The following is a 21,663-nucleotide window of genomic DNA, read 5'->3' as shown; positions in this document are numbered from 1 at the left end:
CAAGAGGGATCCCCTCAGCTGAGTCTCTCTACTGTGGGTAAACATAAACAGGAAGACCCCTAAAGCCCTTATCACCAAGAACCATACAACTTACCCTGCCACTACGCTGCCACAAACTCCTACAGTGTAGACCACTGAGGCAACTGCAGTTATCAATAATGTTGATCACAGCTGAAGAAGATACACAAAGGCTACACCACTGCACTCACACAGAACTGGAGGCAATGGACCCTGTCCAAATGACACCCTAAGACCCATCTGCAAATGAAAGTTTTTTCCTACAAAAAACAATCTATAAAATTAAAAGTAGTTACTGTTCCTCTAGATGCACAGATATCAACACAGGGACACAAGAAACATGAAAAAGCAAGGGAACATGACACCACCAAAGAAACACAACAGTTCCTCAGTAGCTAACCCCATATAAATGAAAATTACAAATTGCCTGAAGATGAATACATAATCATATAAAGGGAATTCATGATATACAAGAGGATACAGATAGACAATTCAGTAAGATCAAGAAAATAATTCATAATCTGATTGTGAAATTTAAGAAAGAGATAGATATAAGAAAGGACCAAACAGAAATACGCGAGTTGAAGAAGGTGGTGAATGAAATAAGAAGTACATGTAAGAGTCAACAGCAGACTAGATCAAGCAGCAAAAAGTCTGTCTGAACTTGAAAACAGATCTTTTAAAATAACCCGGAGAGAAAAAAAATGAAAAAGAGTGAAGAAAAAGAAAGTCTATGGGACTTATTAAACACCATTAAGTGAATAAATATTCAGATTATGAGAGTTTCAGAGGGTAAAGAGATGGAAAAAGGCACATAAAGCTTATTTGACAAAATAATAGCTAAAGACTTCCCAAGTTGGGTGAGAGATATGAACATACAGATCCATGAAGCTCAAAAGTCTTCAAGCATATTCTACCAAAGGGGTGCTCACTGAGGCATATTATAATCAAAATGTCAAAAGTCAAAGACAAAGAGAAAATTGGAAAATCAGCAAGAGGAAAATGTCAAGTGACATAAAAGGGAATCCCCATCAGATCATCAGTGATTTCTCAGCAGAAATATCACAGGTCAGAAAAGAATGAGATAAGATAGTCAAAGTGCTGAAAGAAGAAAACTGCCAACCTAAAATGGTATAGCCAATAAAGCTGTTCTTCAAAAATGAAGGAGAAACAAATTATTTCAGATATGCAAAATGTCAGAAGATGTATCACCAATAGAACTGCCTTACAAAAAATGTTTAGCTTTTCAATTGGAAATAAAAGGATTATAATTACTATAATGGAAATATATAAAAGTATAAAACTCACTGATAGAAATAAATTTATAGTAAAATTCAGAATATTCCATTACTGCAATGACAATGTGTAAATATTTCAAGTGTCTACTATGAAGGTTAAAAGTCAAAATGGTCACAATTATAGCTACAATAAGCTATTAAGAAATATATGATAAAAAGATGTAAATTGTGACAACAAAAGTATAAATTGTAGGGGAGTGGGTAACACTAAAGCACCTAAACACATAAAGCCAATATTAATGAACATAAAATAATAAATAGATAACAATACAATAATAGTAGGGAACTTCAATACCTCACTTTCAACAGTATAATAATACTAGTGGATGCCAATACCTCACTATTAATAATAGATCAGCCAGTTAGAAAATCAATGAGAAAATATAGAACTTGAAATGCAATTTTGACCAAATTGACCTAATAGACATGTATAAAAGTTTCCATACAACAACAGCAGAATATACATTCTTCTCTTGTGCACATGGAACATTCCCCAGAATGCACCATATATGCCACAAAACAAGTATTAAAAAATTTGAGTAGATAGAAATCATATCTAGTATTATTTTGAACTATAAGTATATGAAACTAGATATCAATAACAGAAGGAATCTTGGTAAATTCACAAATATAAAGAATTTAAACAACATGCTCATGAACAACCAATTGGTCAAAGAACAAATCAAAAGAGAATTTAACAAAAAATTATTGAGTCAAATGACAATAGAAACACAACATATAAAAACCTATGGGATATAGCAAAAGCAGTTCTAGAGGAATCTTTATAGCAAGAAATGCCTACTTAAAAAAAAAAAAAAGATCCCAAATATATAGCCCTATATTATGCCTCTAGGAACCAGTGAAGAAGCGAAACTAAACCCAAATTTATCAGAAGAAATGAAATAATAGGCTGGGCACGGTGGCTCACACCTATAATCCCAGCACTTTGAGAGGCTGAGGCAGCAGATCACTTGAGGTCAGGAGTTCAAGACCAGCCTGGCCAACATGGCAAAACTCTGTCTCTACTAAAAATACAAAAATTAGCCTGGCATGGTGGCAAGCACCTATAATCCCAGCTACTCAGGAGGCTGAGGCATGCACAAGAATCGCTTGAAACCAGGAGGCAGAGGTTGCAGTGAGCTGAGATCATGCCACATTAACAGCCTGGACGACAGAGTAAGACTCCATCTCAAAAAAAAAAAAAAAAAAAAAGAAAAAAGAAAAAGGAAAATAAAACTGGGGAATAAAAAGGATCAGAACATAAATCAAATAGAGAACAGAAAAATAAAACAAAAAAATCAATAAAACCAAGAGTTGTTTCTTTGAAAAAGTAAACAAAATCAAAAAACATCTAACTAGACTAAGAAAAAAAGAGTGAAGACTCAAGTACATAAAATAGAAATGAAAGTGAAGACCTTATAACAGATGCCTCAGAAATAAAAAAGAAGGATCATAATCGGCTATTGTGAACAATTATATGTTAACATATTGATAACCTAGAGGAAATGAACAAATTTCTAGAAAAAAAATACAGCCTACCAAGATTGAATCAACACAAAATAGGAAGCTTAAACAAACCAATAATACAATAAAGAGGTTGAAGAAGACATTAAAAACTTTTAAACAAAGAAAAGCCTAGAGCCAGATTACTTCATGGTTGAATTCTGCCAAATATTCAAATAATTATTGCCAATCCTTCTCAAACTCTTTCCCAAAATAATGGGATGTTCCAAAAACATCTTACAAGGCTAGAATTACCTTTCTACTTAAGCTAGAGAAAGATCCCACAGGAAAAGAAAACTGGAAGTCAATATGTCTAATGAACATTAGTGTAAAAATACTCAATAAAACACTAGCAAAACTAATTCAGCAACACAGCAAAAAAATTATGTCTAATGAACATTAATGTAACAATACTCAATGAAACACTAGCAAAACTAATTTAGCAACACGTCAAAAAAATTATACATGATGACCAAGTGTGATATATCCCTGGCATGCAAAGCCAGTTTAATATATGCAAATCAGTCACTGTGATATATCACATTAACAGAATGAAAAATAAAAGCATGATCAGCTCAACAGCTGCAGAAAAAAAGTGTCACAAAGTTCAGTATCTTTTCTTGATAAAAACACATAACAGTTTTGGTACAGAAGAAAAGTTTCTCCATATAATAAAAGCTATTAATGAAAATCTCACAGCTAACATTATAATCAATAGGGAACAACTGTAAACTTTTCTATCAAGATCTGGTACAAGGCAGAGATGCCCACTCTTGCCACTTCTATTCAACATAGTACTGGAAGTGCTAGCAAGAGATATAAGATAAGAAAATTAATTAATTGATAATAATGATGATAAAATAATAACAATAAGCATCCAAATTGGAAAGGAAAAAGTAAATTTCAAGCTACAAAAACAAAAATAAATAAATGGATCTATATTAAACTAAAAATCTTCTACACAGCAAATGAAACAATCAACAAAATGAAAAGGCAATCTACAAATGTGGAAAAAATATTTGCAAGCTATATATCTGATAAGGGATTAATATCCAAAATTTATTAAGATCATTTACAACCCGATAGCTGAAAATCAAATGACCCAAGGAAAAAAGGGACAAAGGACCTAAACAGACATTTCTCCAAAGAAGACATAACAATGCCCAACATTTCATTTTGGCCTCATTTTCATTTATTATCAAGGAAATGCAAATTAAAATCACTAGGATATAATCACATCACACCTGGTAGAATGGCTATGACCTAAAAGACAAGCAATAAGTGTTGGCAAGGTGAACCCAGTTGGAAAGTGAACCCAGTGCACAGTTGGCGGGAATGTAGATTAGTATAGCCATTATCAAAAACAGTATGGAGGTTACTAAAGAAATTAAAAACAGAACAACCATATGACTCAGCAATCTCATTTCCAGGTATATACATAAAGGAGATGAAATTGCCACCTCACAAAGATATCTTCACTCCATGTTCACTGTAACATTATTCATAATAGCCAAGATACGGAAACAGGCTCTGCAGGGTGGCTCATGATCATAATCCCAGAACTTCAGGAAGCTGAGGTAAAAGGATCACTTGAGCCTAGGAGTTCAAGACCATCCTGAGCAACATAGGGAGATCTTGTCTCTACAAAAAATAAAAAATTAGTTGGTCACGGTGGCACATGTTTGTTCCCCCACCTACTTGGGAGGCTGAGGTCAGAGTGTTGCTTGAGCCCAGGAGGTCGAGGCTGCAATGAACTATGATCACATCAGTATATTCCAGCCTGGGTGATAGAGTGAGACCATCTCAAAAAAAAAAAAAAAAAAAAAGATATGGAAGCAAACTGGAAACCATGGGTAATACTTTAAAAGGAAGACGTTGCCATTTGTTACGACATGGATGACCCCAGAAGACCTTATGTTAAGTGAAATAAGCCAAACACAGACAGAAAACATATTGCATGATCTCAATTATATGTGGAATATTTGGAAAAAAAAGATGACAAATATACAGAGATATAGAATAAAACAGTGGTTATTAAGGGCACAAGGGAGTGGGGAAAGGGGAGATACAGGAAAGGACACAAAGTGACAGATATATAGGATTAAGCAAGTCTAGAGATCTAATGTGCAACATGACAACTATGATTAATAAAATTGTATTGTACTAAGAATTCTCATTAAATGAGTAGATTATGAATGAATGAATGAATGAATGAATGAATGAATGAAAAGTAACTATATGTTTTCTGACTCCTAGAAGCAGATAAACAGAGTAACTATGTTAGATGATAGATCTGCTAATCTGTTTCACTAGAGTAACCATTTTACCCTCTGTATGTATCCCATAACATCACGTTATAAACCTCAAATATGCATAATAAAATTTATGTTAAAAAAGAATAAAATTAGCTTACCTCAAAATTTGAAAAAAAGTAGACATCAAAAGTTAATTCAACAAAAGAGAAAGGCAAAGAAGTTGGCTGGGAGACAATATTCATAATCCCATGTGGAAGGATGGTAGAGTTTAAACTGAGATGACAATGAAGAAGGAAATAGATTTTGAAGTACTTTTAGATGAAGAATAAATAAAGCACAAAGATTTGTTTGAATATGAGTGTTAAGTAAGAGGGAGAAATCAAAGGTAAATCCAAAATTGATTTAGACAACAGAGTGAATGTTGATATAAATGTCAAAGGAAACAGAATTGGGAGGAAAAAAAAATAATGAGCTCACTTTTATTGTTTGTTTGCTTGAAGTGCTATTGAGATGGACAATTTGATGTCAGCCACTAATGTTATAACATAGTGATTCATCAATTCTTCATTGAATGAGGAATAGCTCATCCAGGACTTAGCACTGATTAAGTATTAATAATTTTGGTAAGTGTTGAATGAATAATTAAGTGAATAAGTTTATTTTCCTCTAAGCAGTAAGAATGTTTTTCCCTCTGCGGCAACCAGCTTGGTAGACAAACTTACATGGAATAAGAACAGATTGCCACACTTCTGAAGATCAGCCAGACTGCTGGGGGCATCACGAGTCCACAGTAAATGAGCCTGACTATAACTGTGGGATGCCTTTCCATACACCAGAATGGAACCCTTGTCAGCAACTATAGTACCTATGATTTACATCCCAACATAGGTGGTTATAGAATAAAATACTGGCTTTATTTTATGTCTTCTTTTAAATTTTTAATCACTTGAAAACATTTCATTTTTTAACGTTAAAAAGAATACTTCATTCATATGACTCGATTAGATCATTGAAGTTGATCAGTTCATTAAGAGCATGTCAAATTTTATCTCATATTATTTCTAATTTTTCCAAGATTAGTAACTTGTTTAAGAAGGAAGGTGATAAAAGTATAACAAATTTATACCAGAATGTTAATCTGCCTGGCACCCTTTGCTTCATCCTAACTCACCCTAGCTGGTTGTACTGAGACACTTGCATGATCTTTCATTACCATCCAGGAGCCAGAGATAAATCCTTGGATCATTAATTCAAAAAGCTTTGTCCCACAAATCTGCACATTATTACTACTTTTGCTAAACCAACTCTCAGGGAGTTCATGCCAGAGGCTCACTTGATACCTTTAGGATGCAGCTGCCTGTTTATTTTTTCTCTTCATTCTGATAAATGTCCCCAGGGGAGACCCGAATTCCATTTTTCCCTAGAGCTCCTGAGTATTCTGTTCCTTGTCCAAGACACCCAAAATAGAGTTCCATTTTTTGCTCCACTTAGCTCCAAGGAGGACAATGAGTTTCCTGCCAGCCCTTATCTCCAATCTCAGCCTACATTTCTATCATATCTACTATGCCCTTCTGAGGTTATGGTCTACCCTGGTGTCCATTCTGATGCTGCTTAACCTGGAATATGTTTAAATTGCCAAAACACCTCCTAGTGTTTGTTTCTTTCCTCCTCTGATCTGAGGGCTTTTCTGTTTTTCTCAGGACTCTCTGCTTCTACAATGTCTGTCAGCCATGGCAGAGAAGCCCAAGCCACCTCCTGAGGGAGACATATTCTGGTACAAACTAGGATGTCCGTTTGTGTTGACGGTTTTAGAAAATCGTCGTATTAGGAATTTGCAAAATAATGTGTTTCCAAGAATAGAGCTGTGAGTAAGAACGTGACTTTGTTCACAACAGGGTTTTGGAAAGAGGGGTCTTCACCAGGAATAGTGTCTTGTAAACTCTGCTAAGATTCTTGATATACCCACCCATTTTACTAAAGTACTTGAATAGAAAATAATGGAAAGTTTTGAAATGCCTTTCTAAATTATTATAATCATTAAAATGTAAGCCTTTCACTTTTATAATTTATTGTAGTTGAAATACTATGCATAGTCATGCTGCTATTTCATTTTCATATTTAAAAAACAGAATGGAGAGTAAGAGTACATGTAAAAACTAAATAAATAAGAATAATATAATGACTCATTTTTATTCTATTCATTAAAGGTGTGGAGTTCATGGTTGCTTTATATACACTTATATCCCACACTAAGTACAGAATATTTCTACTTTAATAACATTATGATTGGCTAAGTTACAGACTCAGGATTCAATCCTTACAGAAATGAGGGCTGGGTCTGCATCACGTCCTAAATTGGCAAGTTTATTAATATCAAGCAAAGCAACTTGTTCATCAATGAAATCTTGCAGGTCTTAAACACTGTATTAGGTATACATGTCTGAGCGTGTACACAAAAAATGTTATATTTGGTTATATTTATACAATTTAGATAGAGAAAAAAAGATATGTAGGAAGAATTACATAAATCCACACTTAGGAGAAAAGAAAGGCTTGATTTTTTGACTTGTGCTAGTAATTTTTAGACTTCTGATTTTTCACAGCTGAGGTTTAAAATTTAGTCTTCTAATCCTAGTCTATTGCTTTCTACTTCACTGTGCAGAATAGTTATTTGTTAAAATCAGCAATCTGAATCACACATATCCTAAACACATATCACAGTGATAAGAACTGCTTTACTCTTAAATTATACTTGAGAAATATATCTCAAAATATTTTTTTAATATTGAAATTATGTTATTAATTTTCCTAAATTCAAGTAATTAAAGTTATTTAAAATCGACAGTCATAATTCAGCCCAGAATCCATTAAAATACAAATTTTCAATTTAAGGTAAATGATTAAACTCTTGAAGGTATATTTTCTCAAGATATCAGTCAATATTTGCAGGAACTATGGAAACATTTAGAATATGTAAGTACAACTCAGCCTTTGAACTGGTGCTTCAGGTATTCTAGGGTGGTAAAAAGAATAGAAGTCACATGAGAATTATGTAATATCCTAGTTGTTATGTACTAAAAGTTAAAATGACTTCTAATGGCAAAAACATATAGGTTGGTAATGATAACCATATTTCACAAACTATTTATTTCCATTTTCTTTATGGGTTAAAATGTTACAAATAATCTAGTACAATTTGGAGCCTTTCATCTGTAGTCGTCAAAGACTGACAAAGATGATGATAAAACTACTGACAATTTTGACTGTTAGAATCTCAGTTTTATTAGTAATTGCTTCTTAAAGCGTATAGAATCTTAAATACATAGAAAGAGAACACATATAACATTTCTTTTTGTTCAAAAATCAAATTGCTTGAGGGTTGAGTTTAAATTTGGGAACAAACTTGAACGTCAGAAATGTAGGTACACACACAAAAAAGCTATTTCCTAGACTGTGACATGGATTTTCTGTCAAAAGCCTTGTCTTTGCATTAAACAACTTAAGAAGCTAGAAAATCTATCTTAATCAGATGAAAGAGATAAAATTAAATTACTTAAAATAAAGTGAGATATTTTATATCATTAAAATAGTTAATAACATGAATTGCTATCAGTGAAAGAAAAATGTTTTATATACTGCATACAGAAAGCCAGAAGATGAGACAAATATTTTATCTGTTTTCTTGAAGAGATGAAAATCTCTACAATTACTTGGTGCTAGGTGGGTTATTAACATGGAAATTAAAATTTCTTGGGGTAACTTCTAGCCTAAGGATGAGGGATTAACCACATGCATCTATTTTCTTTCCTTCATGGGAACCAAATAAATGTAAGTATAAAAAAATAGGTCACTACGACAAACAAGAGGTTGATAAAGAACCATCAGGGTATAAAAAGTTTCTATAAACTCTTGAAGGCCACATGTCCATGGAAGAGTGGTAACTATTGAACTGGGATGGAGAAAAATGCAGTGTGGGACACAACTGAGAAGTGAGACAGCTCTCCTAGTAAAACCACAGAGAAGTCTGAGACTAAAAACGTGCCTAGTACACGTGAAAGTGAAAGAAAGACATGGAACTGAACACATGAAGTGGGGAGGGGGACAGATACAATACGTACTCCTAGACACATTTCTCCTACTCTTGACTTGCAACAGTCAGTGGTCAGGCATCCGCCTTTAGAAAGGAGCCTGGAAGGCCATCTGTTGAGAGAGTGTGACTCCAGTGACATTCTGGTATCTGGGGGCCTCCAAAATGACACCAGCTCCAAGTCAAGCATCTTAAAATGAAGGCCTGCTCCAAGGTGAGGAGCACTATGGACATACGCAGAGTTCTCAAAGAACTCCTCATACTTTACTCTTAAACATGAACAGAGGATGAGAGAGAGAGAGAGAGAGAGAGAGAACAGAGATAATTCATAGAAAATAAGAAAATATTATATTACCAACAGTAATATCCTTAGAGACATTCAAAAAAAGTATTTCACCTGTAAAATGTAATGGAAATTCCTGAGGAAAGGAGACATCTGATATCTTGGAATTTACAGTGTTATAGTTAAGATAAAAAGAATAAATAAAAGACTAGGAATATATGAACATTTCTCAATAAATAAAAGAAATGGACAAAGACTGGGAAAAGGTAAGATAATAAGATTAAGAAAACCAATCCAGGAGATCCAATAGCCAACCAAGAGAAATTTAAGAATGAGAAAACAGAAAAGAAAAAATAAAATGTAGAGATGAAAACTATCCAGACCATAATAAAGTGTATTTAATAGAGCAGATGAACAGGAATCTCTAGATTAAAAGAACCCGTGAAGAAAAATGCTAAAAGATCCTGGTAGTGTGAGCATAGAATAAAGACATTTTTCAGACACTCTAGAAATACTCAGGGAATATATGGTCCTTATTTAGCCAAAGGAGGAAAAACAAAATTAAAAACAGGAAAGCAAGAAAATCCAAAAATGAAGTACGCAACCCAGGCAAACAGTGCAGATAAATCCCAAGAAGACATGCAGGCAGCAGATTGAGAAGGTATCTGTTTGTGTGATAGATGGGTGCTCCAGGAGACAAGGTGAAATAACTGGTCACTGTGAGTATTGGAGGGAGAGAATTAATAGAGTTGCTAGCTGGACCAACAATCCAAGAAGCTATACTGAAAGGAAATATAATCAAAATTTCATACTTGATTTTACAATGGATCATTGTATCCACATATTAAGGATTTATATATATCATCCTTATATATATATATAAGGATTTATATATATCATATATATATATATCCACAATATATCCACATATTAAGGTGATTAGTCTTCGTAGAGTACTAGATTTCAAAATATACCTATGAGTAAGGTAAGAAAAATATATTTATGGTGACGCTATATTTAAGTGTTCTTAACAAACAACAGAAATGGGAAGACAGAAGGGCCTAGGGAAGAGAGATTAAAAAAAAGACTAAGGATGCTAATATCTTCATTTAATAAGTAAGGAGTCAGATATCAGTCAAACTGACTGATGAAATAGGAAATACATGTATACATTTTTGTCTTTAATTACAGAAGGTAATCAGCGTACTACTTGATGTAGAAGATTTATTCTGGGATGAAGAAGAAACAGTTTTCTAATAGCTGAACTACAAGATAACTCTACCCACACTCCATCCCCACTAGCAAGACCACAGAAAGGATAAGAGAAACAATGTTATACTAGAACATTTAGACCTATATTTAAATTAGCTACTAGCCCAACCAACCTCAAGCAAATTATAAAATGTGATCCTTATCCTTAAACTAGACTATTTTTAGGGTTCATTTCCATTCAATATAAGCAGATCTTTATAGACAAAAGTGTGAAAGAAGTGTTTTCTAAGTCTGTGACTAGTTGTGGTCATTTTTGTTATTGTTCAGGCTGACCACTTCAGTCTTCATTGTCTGTATCACATGTCAGCATCACAATAAAGACGAGAAGGCCCTCCTAAGAGCCAAGAGAAAACCTGGCCACAAAATACTTTCTGCTTTAGAAAGTGGTGGTTGCTGCTGTTTACTTTCGTACATTCACACGTAAAAATAATTAAAGTAAATTATGGTTCATTCCCTATCAAGAAAATATCAACAAATGTATCAAAATAACTACTTTTAGCAAACTCTAAATTCTTCACGAGCATTTTGCATTTGGGATTAATTTCAGAGCAACCATGAGCTCACATATCAAAAGAGCATTTAAAAAGAGATTTTGTTCAAAGAAATAGGCACATCAAAGCAATTGAATAGGAAATAACTGTCTAACTTCTGCAAAGCTATATTATCTTTTTTGCAATGAAAACCTTAAACACACAAATTCTGAGTGGAAATCAAATCTGATATTAAATTTTATTACTTAGAGATGACTTGCTATGTCAGTTAAGAGCTGACATTTCAAAATAATTCAAAAAATCATGTTCATATAGATGATATTTATTCATTCCACAAACTAAAATTCAGTCTACAAACCTTGCTACACATTACAAGAAAGTAAATAGTTATATGCATACCACATTATTATCATTTTGGATCAGGATACCACATTCCTCCAACAATAATTTTCCATCAAAGGGAACTTGCATGAGGAAAAGAGAAAAGTAAAATGAATTACTGAATTGATTGTTTGTTATGGCTTTTTTCTTTATAACATCTTCATTCCTATATTCCTACCTTTGGTATTTGTCACTTCTCCTGGAAAATAGTGTTAATTTAATGAATGGTGATAAATTTCAATTTCTGAGTAATTAGCATCCTTTAGTTTGCATTTTCTTCGCTACAGTGAGGTTGAACAACTTATCCCATTTCACTTTCTGTTTATTTATAATCATTTCTATAATAATTCTAACATTTGTATCATGTGTAAGTATGCTTTCCATCCAATAAGATTATATTTTTGATTGTTTGGTTTACTTATATTACTTTGTCATTGTATCATATGTAAAACTTTAATCCTCTAAAATTTATTTTGTGTGAATTGTAAGAAAAATAATTGAATTTTATACTTTCATTTCCATATGGTTAGAGAGCTAGCCCAATATTAAATAATGCATTATTTTCTTACTTAGTTAAAATGTCTTCTTTATTTTCTATTGTTCATAGGTACTGGTTTTTGTTCTGGTTTTCTCAGGTGTTTATTCTGAAGAATTTTAAAATAGTTCAAACCCTTTCCAAAATATATTTTTAATGAAAACTGTATTGAATTTACCAATCACTTTAGCAAGCATTTCCTTCTTTATAATATTGATAATTTGATATTGGATCATACTGAATAAAGAGTTCTAGGCAGTATAATTTAAACTACACTTTGTCATATGACATGATTTTCAAATAAGGAGCATGGCAGGAACCTTCTTCTCTGTCTTTCTCTCTCTCTCTTTTCTTTCCTCTCTTTCTGTTGCTCTCTCTGTCTCACACACACACAGCCCAAAACATAGCTTCATAGTTTTAATCATACAGTTGCTGCAGCATCTTATACTATCTTATATTTTTATACCTAGAGTTTACTGACTTTGCACTGCTTTTACAAAAAGAAATAATTTCCCTATCATATTATCTTTTTTAAAAATTTTTTATTTGCTGGCTGGGTGTGGTGGCTCATGCCTGTACTTTGGGAGTACTTTGGGAGCACTTTGGGAGGCTGAGGTGGGCGGATCACCTGAGGTCAGGAGTTCGAGACTTGCCTGGCCAACATGGTGAAGCCCTGTCTTTACCAAAAATACAAAAATTAGCCAGGCGTGGCGGTGGGTGCCTGTAATCTCAGCTACTCGGGAGGCTGAGGCAGGAGAATCGCTTGAACACAGGTTGCAGTGAGCCGAGATTGCACCACTGCACTTAGGCGACAGAGCGAGACTAAGTCTCAAAAAAAAAAAAAAAAAAAAATTTGCATAGGGCAATGTGGTTTAATAGAAATATAATGTGAAGCCGGGTCTGGTGGCTCACACCTGTAATCCAAGCACTCTAGAAAGCTGAAGCGGGCAGATCACTTGAGGCTACGAGTTCGAGACCAGCCTGGTCAACATGGCAAAACCCCATCTCCACTAAAAGTACAAAAAGTAGTTGGGTGTGGTGGCGCATGCCTGTATTCCCAGGTGCTCAGGAGGATGAAGCAGAAAAATCTCTTGAACCTGGGAGGCAGAAGTTGCAGTGAGCCAAGACCACTCCACTGTACTTCAGGGTGACAGACTGAGACTCTGTCTCAAAAAAAAAGAAAAAGGAAATATAATGTGAGTCATATGCAAGCCATGTATGCAATTAAAAATTTTCCACTATCCACATTAAAAGAGTAAAAAGAAACAGATGGATTAATTTTAACATATTTTACTTCATTCAATATGTCCAAATATTATCATGTCAACATCTAATAAAAATTAAAAAGTAAAATGAGTTATTTTACATTTCTTTTTTTCTACATGAAGTCTTTGAATTCTAATACACATATTTTACTTGCAGAGCATCTTAATTTGGACTAGACACATTCTGTATGATCAACAGCCACATATGACCAATGGCCACCATACTGGACAGATAAGACATTATAAATTAAATGATTTTTGTATGAAGATTTCAAAGTCAGTCACTTTTTTTTTTGAACATGGGAAGTGTTCAAAGTTGTTTCTCATTTATCTTGGGGTTTCCAAGTACAAAAAACTGCACATATTGATAATGTTCTTTACTCGTATATTAATTATTTTGATTATTTGTTATTAATTTGGTCAGCAATCCAAAATAGTTTTTTAAATTTTATTTTTCTTTGTTTTATGCTACAAGTCTAAGTTTTGTTTTAAATTTAAGAGGAATTCCTCTATAATTCTATTGCTATTTTGATATTTGTCAATTTATTTTAGATAATTATCTTTCATTATATGAGGAAAGTACTTTTCAAATATATTTTACTAAGAGTCTTTAAGGATAAATGGATATTTCTTTAATACTTTCTGCATTTCAGGATGGTTACATGAATTTTTCCTGTGGCCTATCAATGTGCTTTCACATATTTATTAATTGACATCCTCATGCTGAGTGATTATTACAAAACCTCTGGAAAAGGTCGCTGTTTGTCATGGCATATTTGAATTTTAATACAATCTAAGATTCATTCTTTCTACATGAAACAATTGTTCCCCAAATTTCAGCTAGGTGTGCTTTTCATGAAATCACTGTACCCCATAAACACTGGGCAAGAATCAGGTGTCACAAAAAACCATGTTTGTTAGTGTATAAATGTTGTCACTGAAAAGGGCAGTTTGGCAATAACTCTTTATACAAATCAAATGCATTTCAGAGACTTTTGGATGCATCATTTTAAAGAGGAGATGGACAATAACAGCATTAATCCATTCATGAGGGCAGAGCCCTCAGGACTAATCACCTCTTAACGGCCCTGACTCTTAATATCATCACCATGGCAACTGAACTTCAACATGGGTTTTGGGGCACACATTCAAACCACAGCATACTATGCGTGACTAAACAAAAAGCTAGTTGACATGGAAAGCTTGGTACAGGATATAGTGTTATAACTACAACATTCTCAGTGGAATATATTGAAGACAAGAGTTGAATACATTGAATAAAGTCTAGGCTATTTTGTTAACTATTATTTTCATTCATTCCTTAGAATCAAGTATACACAGACACACAGGCATGCATGCAAATGTATATATGTATACGGAAGAACTGATTTCCACATTTCTGCATTACTATTCATAATTCAAATTGATTTATATATTCAATGTATTGCTATCACTGTCAGATTTCATGTATCATTTGTGTGTCTTATTCAATGAATTGAGTTTGCATTGTATGGCCTATGCTTTAAAGTAATTTAAATGGCATGGAATTATATAAACATTGGGGCTGGTAAACTTTTCAAGTATTTTTAATTAGCGTTTGAAAAATTTAATTTTATAATTCTTGTTTTATTCATTTTTCTCATTCATAATGGAAATTGGAAAATTTCTATTTGTGGCTGGGTGTGGTGGCTCATGCCTGTAATCCCAGCACTTTGGGAGTCTAAGGTGGGTGGATTGCTTGAGCCCAGAAGTTTGAGACCAGCCTGGGCAACATGGTGAAAACCCATATCTGCAAACAATCCAAAAACCTAGCTGGCGAGGCGGAGGCTGCAGTGAGCTGTGATTGCACCACTGCACTCCCACCTAGGCAACAGAGTGAGGTCCTATCAAAAAAAAAGAAAGAAAGAAAGAGAGAAAGGAAAAGAAAGAAGAAAGAAAGAAAAGAAAGAAAGAAAGAGAGAAAGGAAAAGAAAGAAGAAAGAAAGAAAAGAAAGAAAGAAAGAAAGAAAGAAAGAAAGAAAGAAAGAAAGAAAGAAAGAGAAAGAAAGAAAGAAGAAAGAACGGAAGGAAGAAAGGAAGAAAGAAGAAAAAAAGGAAAAAGAAAAAAATACAATTTATATTTGTGCATACACATATATATGTTTTATAATTTTAACTTAATTTTTTTATTTTGAAAATACTGAGAAGCATTCCATTTATGTTTTTCCTTGCTTTCTAAATAATTATTTCATTCCATTACTGGAATTATTACAAGCCAAACTGATTTATTTCTTAATTTTATATATTTTATTAATTTTATTTTTTCAAATGCATTGACTTTTGATTTTCCTTCTCTTAAAATTATTTCTGACTTCTGGTTTATGTTGTTTTTACTGAAAAGTAGCAATTCAGTCTCAGGTTTTTATGCTGAGCACTTTATCAACAGAATTTAAATGATGATTGTCTACTGTTATTTTCTAACAAAATGTTTGTTATTGCAGCTTTGATTCCAATTTAAGCTAAGGATTCTTTAGAAGAGTTTTGGTTTTTGTTTGTTGGAATAGGAAAGTATTTGGGTTATTTTCTGTTACTTTGTTTTTGCTTCTTGTTTTATTGCACTATGGCTACAAATGGTCTCTAAAAATGCCTTATTTTCTTGAAGATATTACTTTTTTATTATAGTGAGGTTATAATTAATTTAGAAGGGTTCCACAGATATTTCTGAAGAATTGCTATTGTGTTTTTAGATAAGCCTTGATAAAATAGAAGTCAGTTTGCTTTAACTTTGGTTTCGATATGTTTTACTTTCTTCCTTGAAAATATTACATTTTTGCTATATATCATAAAATATTCTATATTTTCTTCTCAAAGTTTTAGAGTTTTTTTTATAATTAGCTCAAGTCATCTGTAGATTTTTAAAAATATGAAATACATTTAATTATTTTCATGTGGGCACCCAATTTCCTCAGTGCTATTTATTGAATTTTTTTTTCTAGTTCTAAGAGTACCTAGTCTCCTGAGAGTCTACGTTATATAACATTTGAAGCTGTTGGGAATATGATATTTTTAATTTTTTTACAATATATACTTAGTTTACATTTGTAATATACATTTAATTATGTATGCCATTGCCATGTACATACACTAATAAAATCAGAAAATGTAATAGATTTCTTATTAAAAAATCTGTTAAAATTATATTTTCTAATTAGTTATAGTTGTCTGTATGTAAGACTGTCTTCTGTATGCTGATTTTATTAGTTCTTTAGTTTTGGTAGCTATTCTCTATTTATTTATTTTTTTATTTTCTAAGTAGATAAAACCATAGCCTCTGTAATGCAGAATAATATAGTTTTATTTCATTTTGTAATGTTCTTTCTCTTTTTTCTTATTCTGTTATTAGGCTTACTTAAAGCTTCAGTATGAAGTTAGATGACAGAGACGATAGTGGTACTTTGCCTTTTTGATGATTATGCTTCGCTATTAATTATCAGAGTAATGTTTTTCTCTTCCTTGGTATTTGGTATGCTATATTTATCTGCTTTTAATTCACACATTGTTCATGTTTTCTCTTTGGCTGCATTCTGGATTGATTTCTACATCTGCTGACAATTCTCTTATGAAGATTTTCTTATATGCTTTTTTCTTATCTTTGTTGTAATTTTTCCTGTGAGATCACTAGCATCATGAGTTATTCTTTAGAGACCAGATGTGCTTTTGGCTGTGGGCATCTCTGTTGGAAGTTCTTCTGTTTGTCTCTACTGGGGCCCTGTGTTTTTCTGGGGTTGTGGTGCTAGTTTATAGGCTATTTTCTCAACTCAGGCAAAAAGGTTCCCATGCTACATGCTGAGAGTAAATTAAACCTCCAAGCCACAGCCAAATGCTTATTGCTGGCTTTCTTTTTTCTGCAAGTATCCAGGAGGTTACCCTAATCCTCTGATAAAATTGAGGGCATTGAATGGAGTTTTTTATATTTCACATGCTACACATTAATTCCAAACTCCTGGCTTTAACCTTAAAGCTCATTTTCAGCAACTCACGCATGCAGAACCCATAGAGTTTCCTCTTTGTGTGTCTTGTGCCGACTGTTACCTACCATCCTTCCTTCCGCTGTTTCTTATTATTTCATCAATAGATTAGTATGATTATTATTATAATGGATTTCAATTTTTTGAGTGATAAGGATGTATTGAGAGGATTTTCTCAATGAAAGCTAGGAACCCTGGTTAAGAGTCTTCTTTGTCTCAAACACTTGTATGTTTTTGTGTTATGCTACTTTTGCTGGAACATACAACTTCTCATCACTTTGGCTAAGGATATCACCACTGGTGCTCTCACTTTAGAGGGTGCTACCTGTGTCAAGAGGTAACCAGGAGCTCTATGTGCAGGATCTCAGTGATGTGATTGGTTTGACATTTGAAAGACTTCCCAAAGATTTTGGTAAAATATTTGACATTTTCTGTCCTCATGACATACTTTTGGTTTCATTAACTCCTGCTGTTGGTTAATGTCTCTGTTTAGAGTTGTTATAAAAGAATTTTTGAGTCTGGGCAATCTACAAAGAAAAGAGGTTTATTTGGCTAACAATTCTGGTGACTGGAAAGTTCAAGATTTTCTACAAACAAAAGAGGTTTATTTGGCTAACAATTCTGGTGACTGGAAGGTTTAATTTACTCTCAGCATGTATCAGCTGCATCTGGTGAGGGCCTCATGCTGCTTCAATTTAAGGCAGAAAGTAGAATGGGAGTAGGCATATGCAAACAGATTGCGTAGTAAGAGAGGAAGTAAGAGAGAGAGAGAGAGAGACCAAGAAAGCCAGGCTCCTTTTAACACCAGACTAACCCATTCCCTTTAGATGGAGAACTTACTTGTAAGAGGACATTAATCTCTTCATGACAGATCTGCCCCCATGGCCCAAACATCTCTCACTAGGTCCTACCTCCCAACACTGCCCCATTGGGGATCAAATTTCAACATGAGTTTTGGCAGGGACAAACCATATCCAAAGCATAGCAGTTCAAGATGTTAATGTGGCTTGATTTGGGTGGTGATGGTCTATTTTACTTATCACCACAGAGGACTTTTTTTTTTTTTTAACATTCACTGAATGTAATGAGCCAGCCTTTTGCCAAGACAAGTTTTACCTGCTTATTATTTTATAAATGTCTCTCTGTATACACAGTATTGGCAAGACAGCATTTCACTGGTTTTTCATGCTGATATAGAAGTGCCTCTACTGTTCCATTCATTTGACCACTGACCACTCACTGCAAGACACATTTAGGGGGCAGAAAATGGAGAGCTACAGACTACTGACCAAGACCTTCACTGGTGAGATGGTGAGGGGTAGGCAATCTATAGTCACTAGATTTCTTCCTGCTAAAATACTGAAGTCCTGAAAATTTTTGTTTCCTAGATATTCGGTGACAATAAACAGGGGAAATTGAGTCTTATCATATCTTGCAATGAGATGTCATACATTTATTCATAATTTTACATTTTCTTATCAAATGAGAGAATTTGTATTCATTGACATACTTCTCTTCCTTGCTTTTTCTCTCTGCAAGCCTTTCCCCTTATACTTTATTACTCATAAAAATACATCTATAGATGCTGATCTGGTCATTTATAATACAGAAAACTGTTAGACTTTATATTTTAAGTCCTAAAATGCTCTCCAAAACTTGCTTTTTAGCCAGATGTTCAGCAGACTTCCTCATCTGAAAGTGTCATCCAGGGCTATGCCCAACACTGAGCATTACAGACACTTGGAAAAACACAGATTCAGGGAGGTTACTGGAGCATAAAGGTCAACCTCAAATGACACAATAAAAGCAGAATCAGGCTTGTAACCTTCAGCAATCTCTCTTCTACCTCAACTGTAGTAAATCAAAGCTGCTTTGTTTTGACTAGGGTAAGACAAACCATTTGAGGTGAAATAATTGCAATTCACATGGGACACCTGTCTAAGTTGGCCTCACTGATAGTATTAACATAGAGAAAGGCTGAGAACAAAAATATTTTGGAGCCATCTGGAGCTCTAAAAACAAAGACACTGACCAAATCAAGCCAAAAATGCCCAAATTAAAATATTTTAAAATATAAATACATCTAGAACTAGATTTAATTAAATCAATTTGTTAAGAAATTTAAAAAAAAATTCCATTAGAGTGAGAGCAATTATTCCTTCCTTCAACAAATATTTATTGAGCCTCTCCTTCTAGCAGACTTTCGTTTCTCAATTATTCAACCAGAAGGGGCTGCATGCCTGCTTGTGGCCTGGTTATTATTATACAGAGCATCATCTCCTTTCACTCTCAAAGGGGTCGTCATTAGGATGACAATGATATGATCACATTCCTCTTCATCCAATATATTGCATCATTCATTCTGACATTTTGTGTGTATGTTTTATTTTGTTTTGAGCATATCAGGTTTATCCCAGGCTTAAGGTCTTTTCCATGGATGTTTTCTCCCTATGGAATGCTCCTTCCCCGAAGAATTTTCTTTCTTGTTATTCAGATCTCAGTTTAAATATTTCTTCTCTAGTGAAACTCAGAATAAAGTAGCAATCTAATCATTCTCTACTGAATTACCTTATCACTGTCTGATAAGTTTATTCAGTAATTTCCATATTTATTTTCAATCTGTCACTCTCCAACCCAACACGTGTACAAAAAGTGGTAAAGTGTCTCACTACTTAGAACAGTGGTTGGGGCTTCATAAACTCTCCAGTACATAGAAAGATTGAAGTATCTTTGCAGATTTTCATCAGATAATCTCTTCCTGAAGAGGACTATCGTTTTTTGCTCATTTTATGTGAGTATAAACATAAGTCTAAGACACACTTTTCATACTCCAGAGCAAATCCTGTGCATCACAAACTTTTCATGTAATTAACGCTATTTTCAGCTCCGGATGCCATTGTTTCTGTTTAGGAAGAGAGGAAAACAGTTTTGTTTTGTTTTGGAATAGTTTGGACTGTTATTAAAATCAACCTGTTAGGAAAAGATTTTTGAGCCCAGAAAACTTCACCTAGATAAAAATCACCAAAATACTTTCCCCAGGTAAAGCAACTTACAAGTGCTTTTGTATTAATGACCTTTGTTCAGAAGAGTCAATGAAATATGCAGCTTTTTTCCAAATAAGAAAAAAAAAAAAACAGTAGTGCTTGGTTCACAGCAAGTGTTGAATGAATGACTGAATGAATATATTCCTGAAAACCTTCTCTCCAACAAGGTCCAGTTTGTTTCACTGTTACATATCATTATTGCATTCTGGACATTTACTTCCTGGTACTTTGTACCACTTTTAAATTAAGTAGTAACTAGTGTTAGTTATCATCTGTATAAGTTCCATGAGGACAGGATCCATATATTTCTTTCTCCACTCTGAAAAGAAGAATTTGTACTTACTTGTGAAATGTACTACTTGTATATTTTAGGTGCACAATCAAATAAATCAGTAGATTGCAGTTAGTGTATACTACGAACTACATACACTGGGCACATTAAGGAGAATATATTATCTGACTGGAAAGTTTAATTTGAATATGTTAAGCATAGATTTATCCTTGAGAATTATTTTACATTAGTATGTAAAACCGGGAAAGGATTTGCCTGCCATTGGAAGCTGTTGGAATAAAGTTATTCATGACTGACCCCAAACAGAATTAGTCAGAATGTTTTCTGTAGCCACGCTTTCTGTCAAAGAGAAGGGAGTTCAGTAGAAAAGAATAAACAGACGCTGAAGAGCAGCTGCTGAAGTCCAGAATGATGGATAAGAGCTCACAGGAGTAAAAATGAGTTCCCAGGTACCAGGTTGCTTGGATTATATCCCATATCTGGAGAGAACTTTGGCCTGAGATCTGATCCACCATCTGCTTTCTTAGAGGAGTTACAGGAAGATGGAAAACAAACGGTACGTTTTCAGTTTAGAAAAAAAAAAGGTGTCTACAGAGCGAGTTCTGAGACTGTAAATCAGGAAGATGCTAGGTGCAACTGCAAGGTGCAAGAACACTTGTATGAAATATTGGTCAATATGAGCCAGTGGAAGATGCTGGCATCACTGAGGGACAACATGGTTTACAAGGAACAAGTAAAGCTGCTTCTTTTCTTGTTTGATTGCGACATTAAACAGGAAGATTAGAAAAATGTGAAGTAGATGGTGTACCTAGGCCTATCATCAGGTCCTTAAGGACAAAAGTAAAGTAAAATATGTGTCAGAGTTTTTCCTGTGCAAGAAAACCTGTTGTTTGTATGTGGATTAATCAATTGATTTACAGTGGAATGGTTTT

The 21,663-nt window shown here is 33.8% G+C and overlaps 1 protein-coding gene across 23 annotated transcripts in view, besides 1 other annotated feature; it reads right to left on the bottom strand.

Moving 5' to 3' along the window:
* NRG3 (neuregulin 3) overlaps positions 1 to 21,663 on the bottom strand; it is a 1,111,986-nt gene that overhangs the window by 209,830 nt on the left and 880,493 nt on the right. The gene's annotated exons all lie outside the window — the stretch shown is intronic.
* Positions 17,717 to 18,428: an enhancer, noted in NCBI's record as "OCT4-NANOG hESC enhancer chr10:84518678-84519389 (GRCh37/hg19 assembly coordinates)". NCBI's record gives its function as "activates a minimal SCP1, AML or CMV promoter by ChIP-STARR-seq in primed H9 embryonic stem cells {active_cell/tissue: H9 hESC(primed)}" and the evidence as "EXISTENCE:reporter gene assay evidence [ECO:0000049][PMID:30033119]".

This window comes from Homo sapiens, chromosome 10, assembly GCF_000001405.40.
Source record: "Homo sapiens chromosome 10, GRCh38.p14 Primary Assembly".
Lineage (NCBI taxonomy): Eukaryota > Metazoa > Chordata > Mammalia > Primates > Hominidae > Homo > Homo sapiens.
The sequence above is the reverse complement of the archived record's forward strand: the minus strand, read 5'-3'. Positions and strand labels throughout refer to the sequence as shown.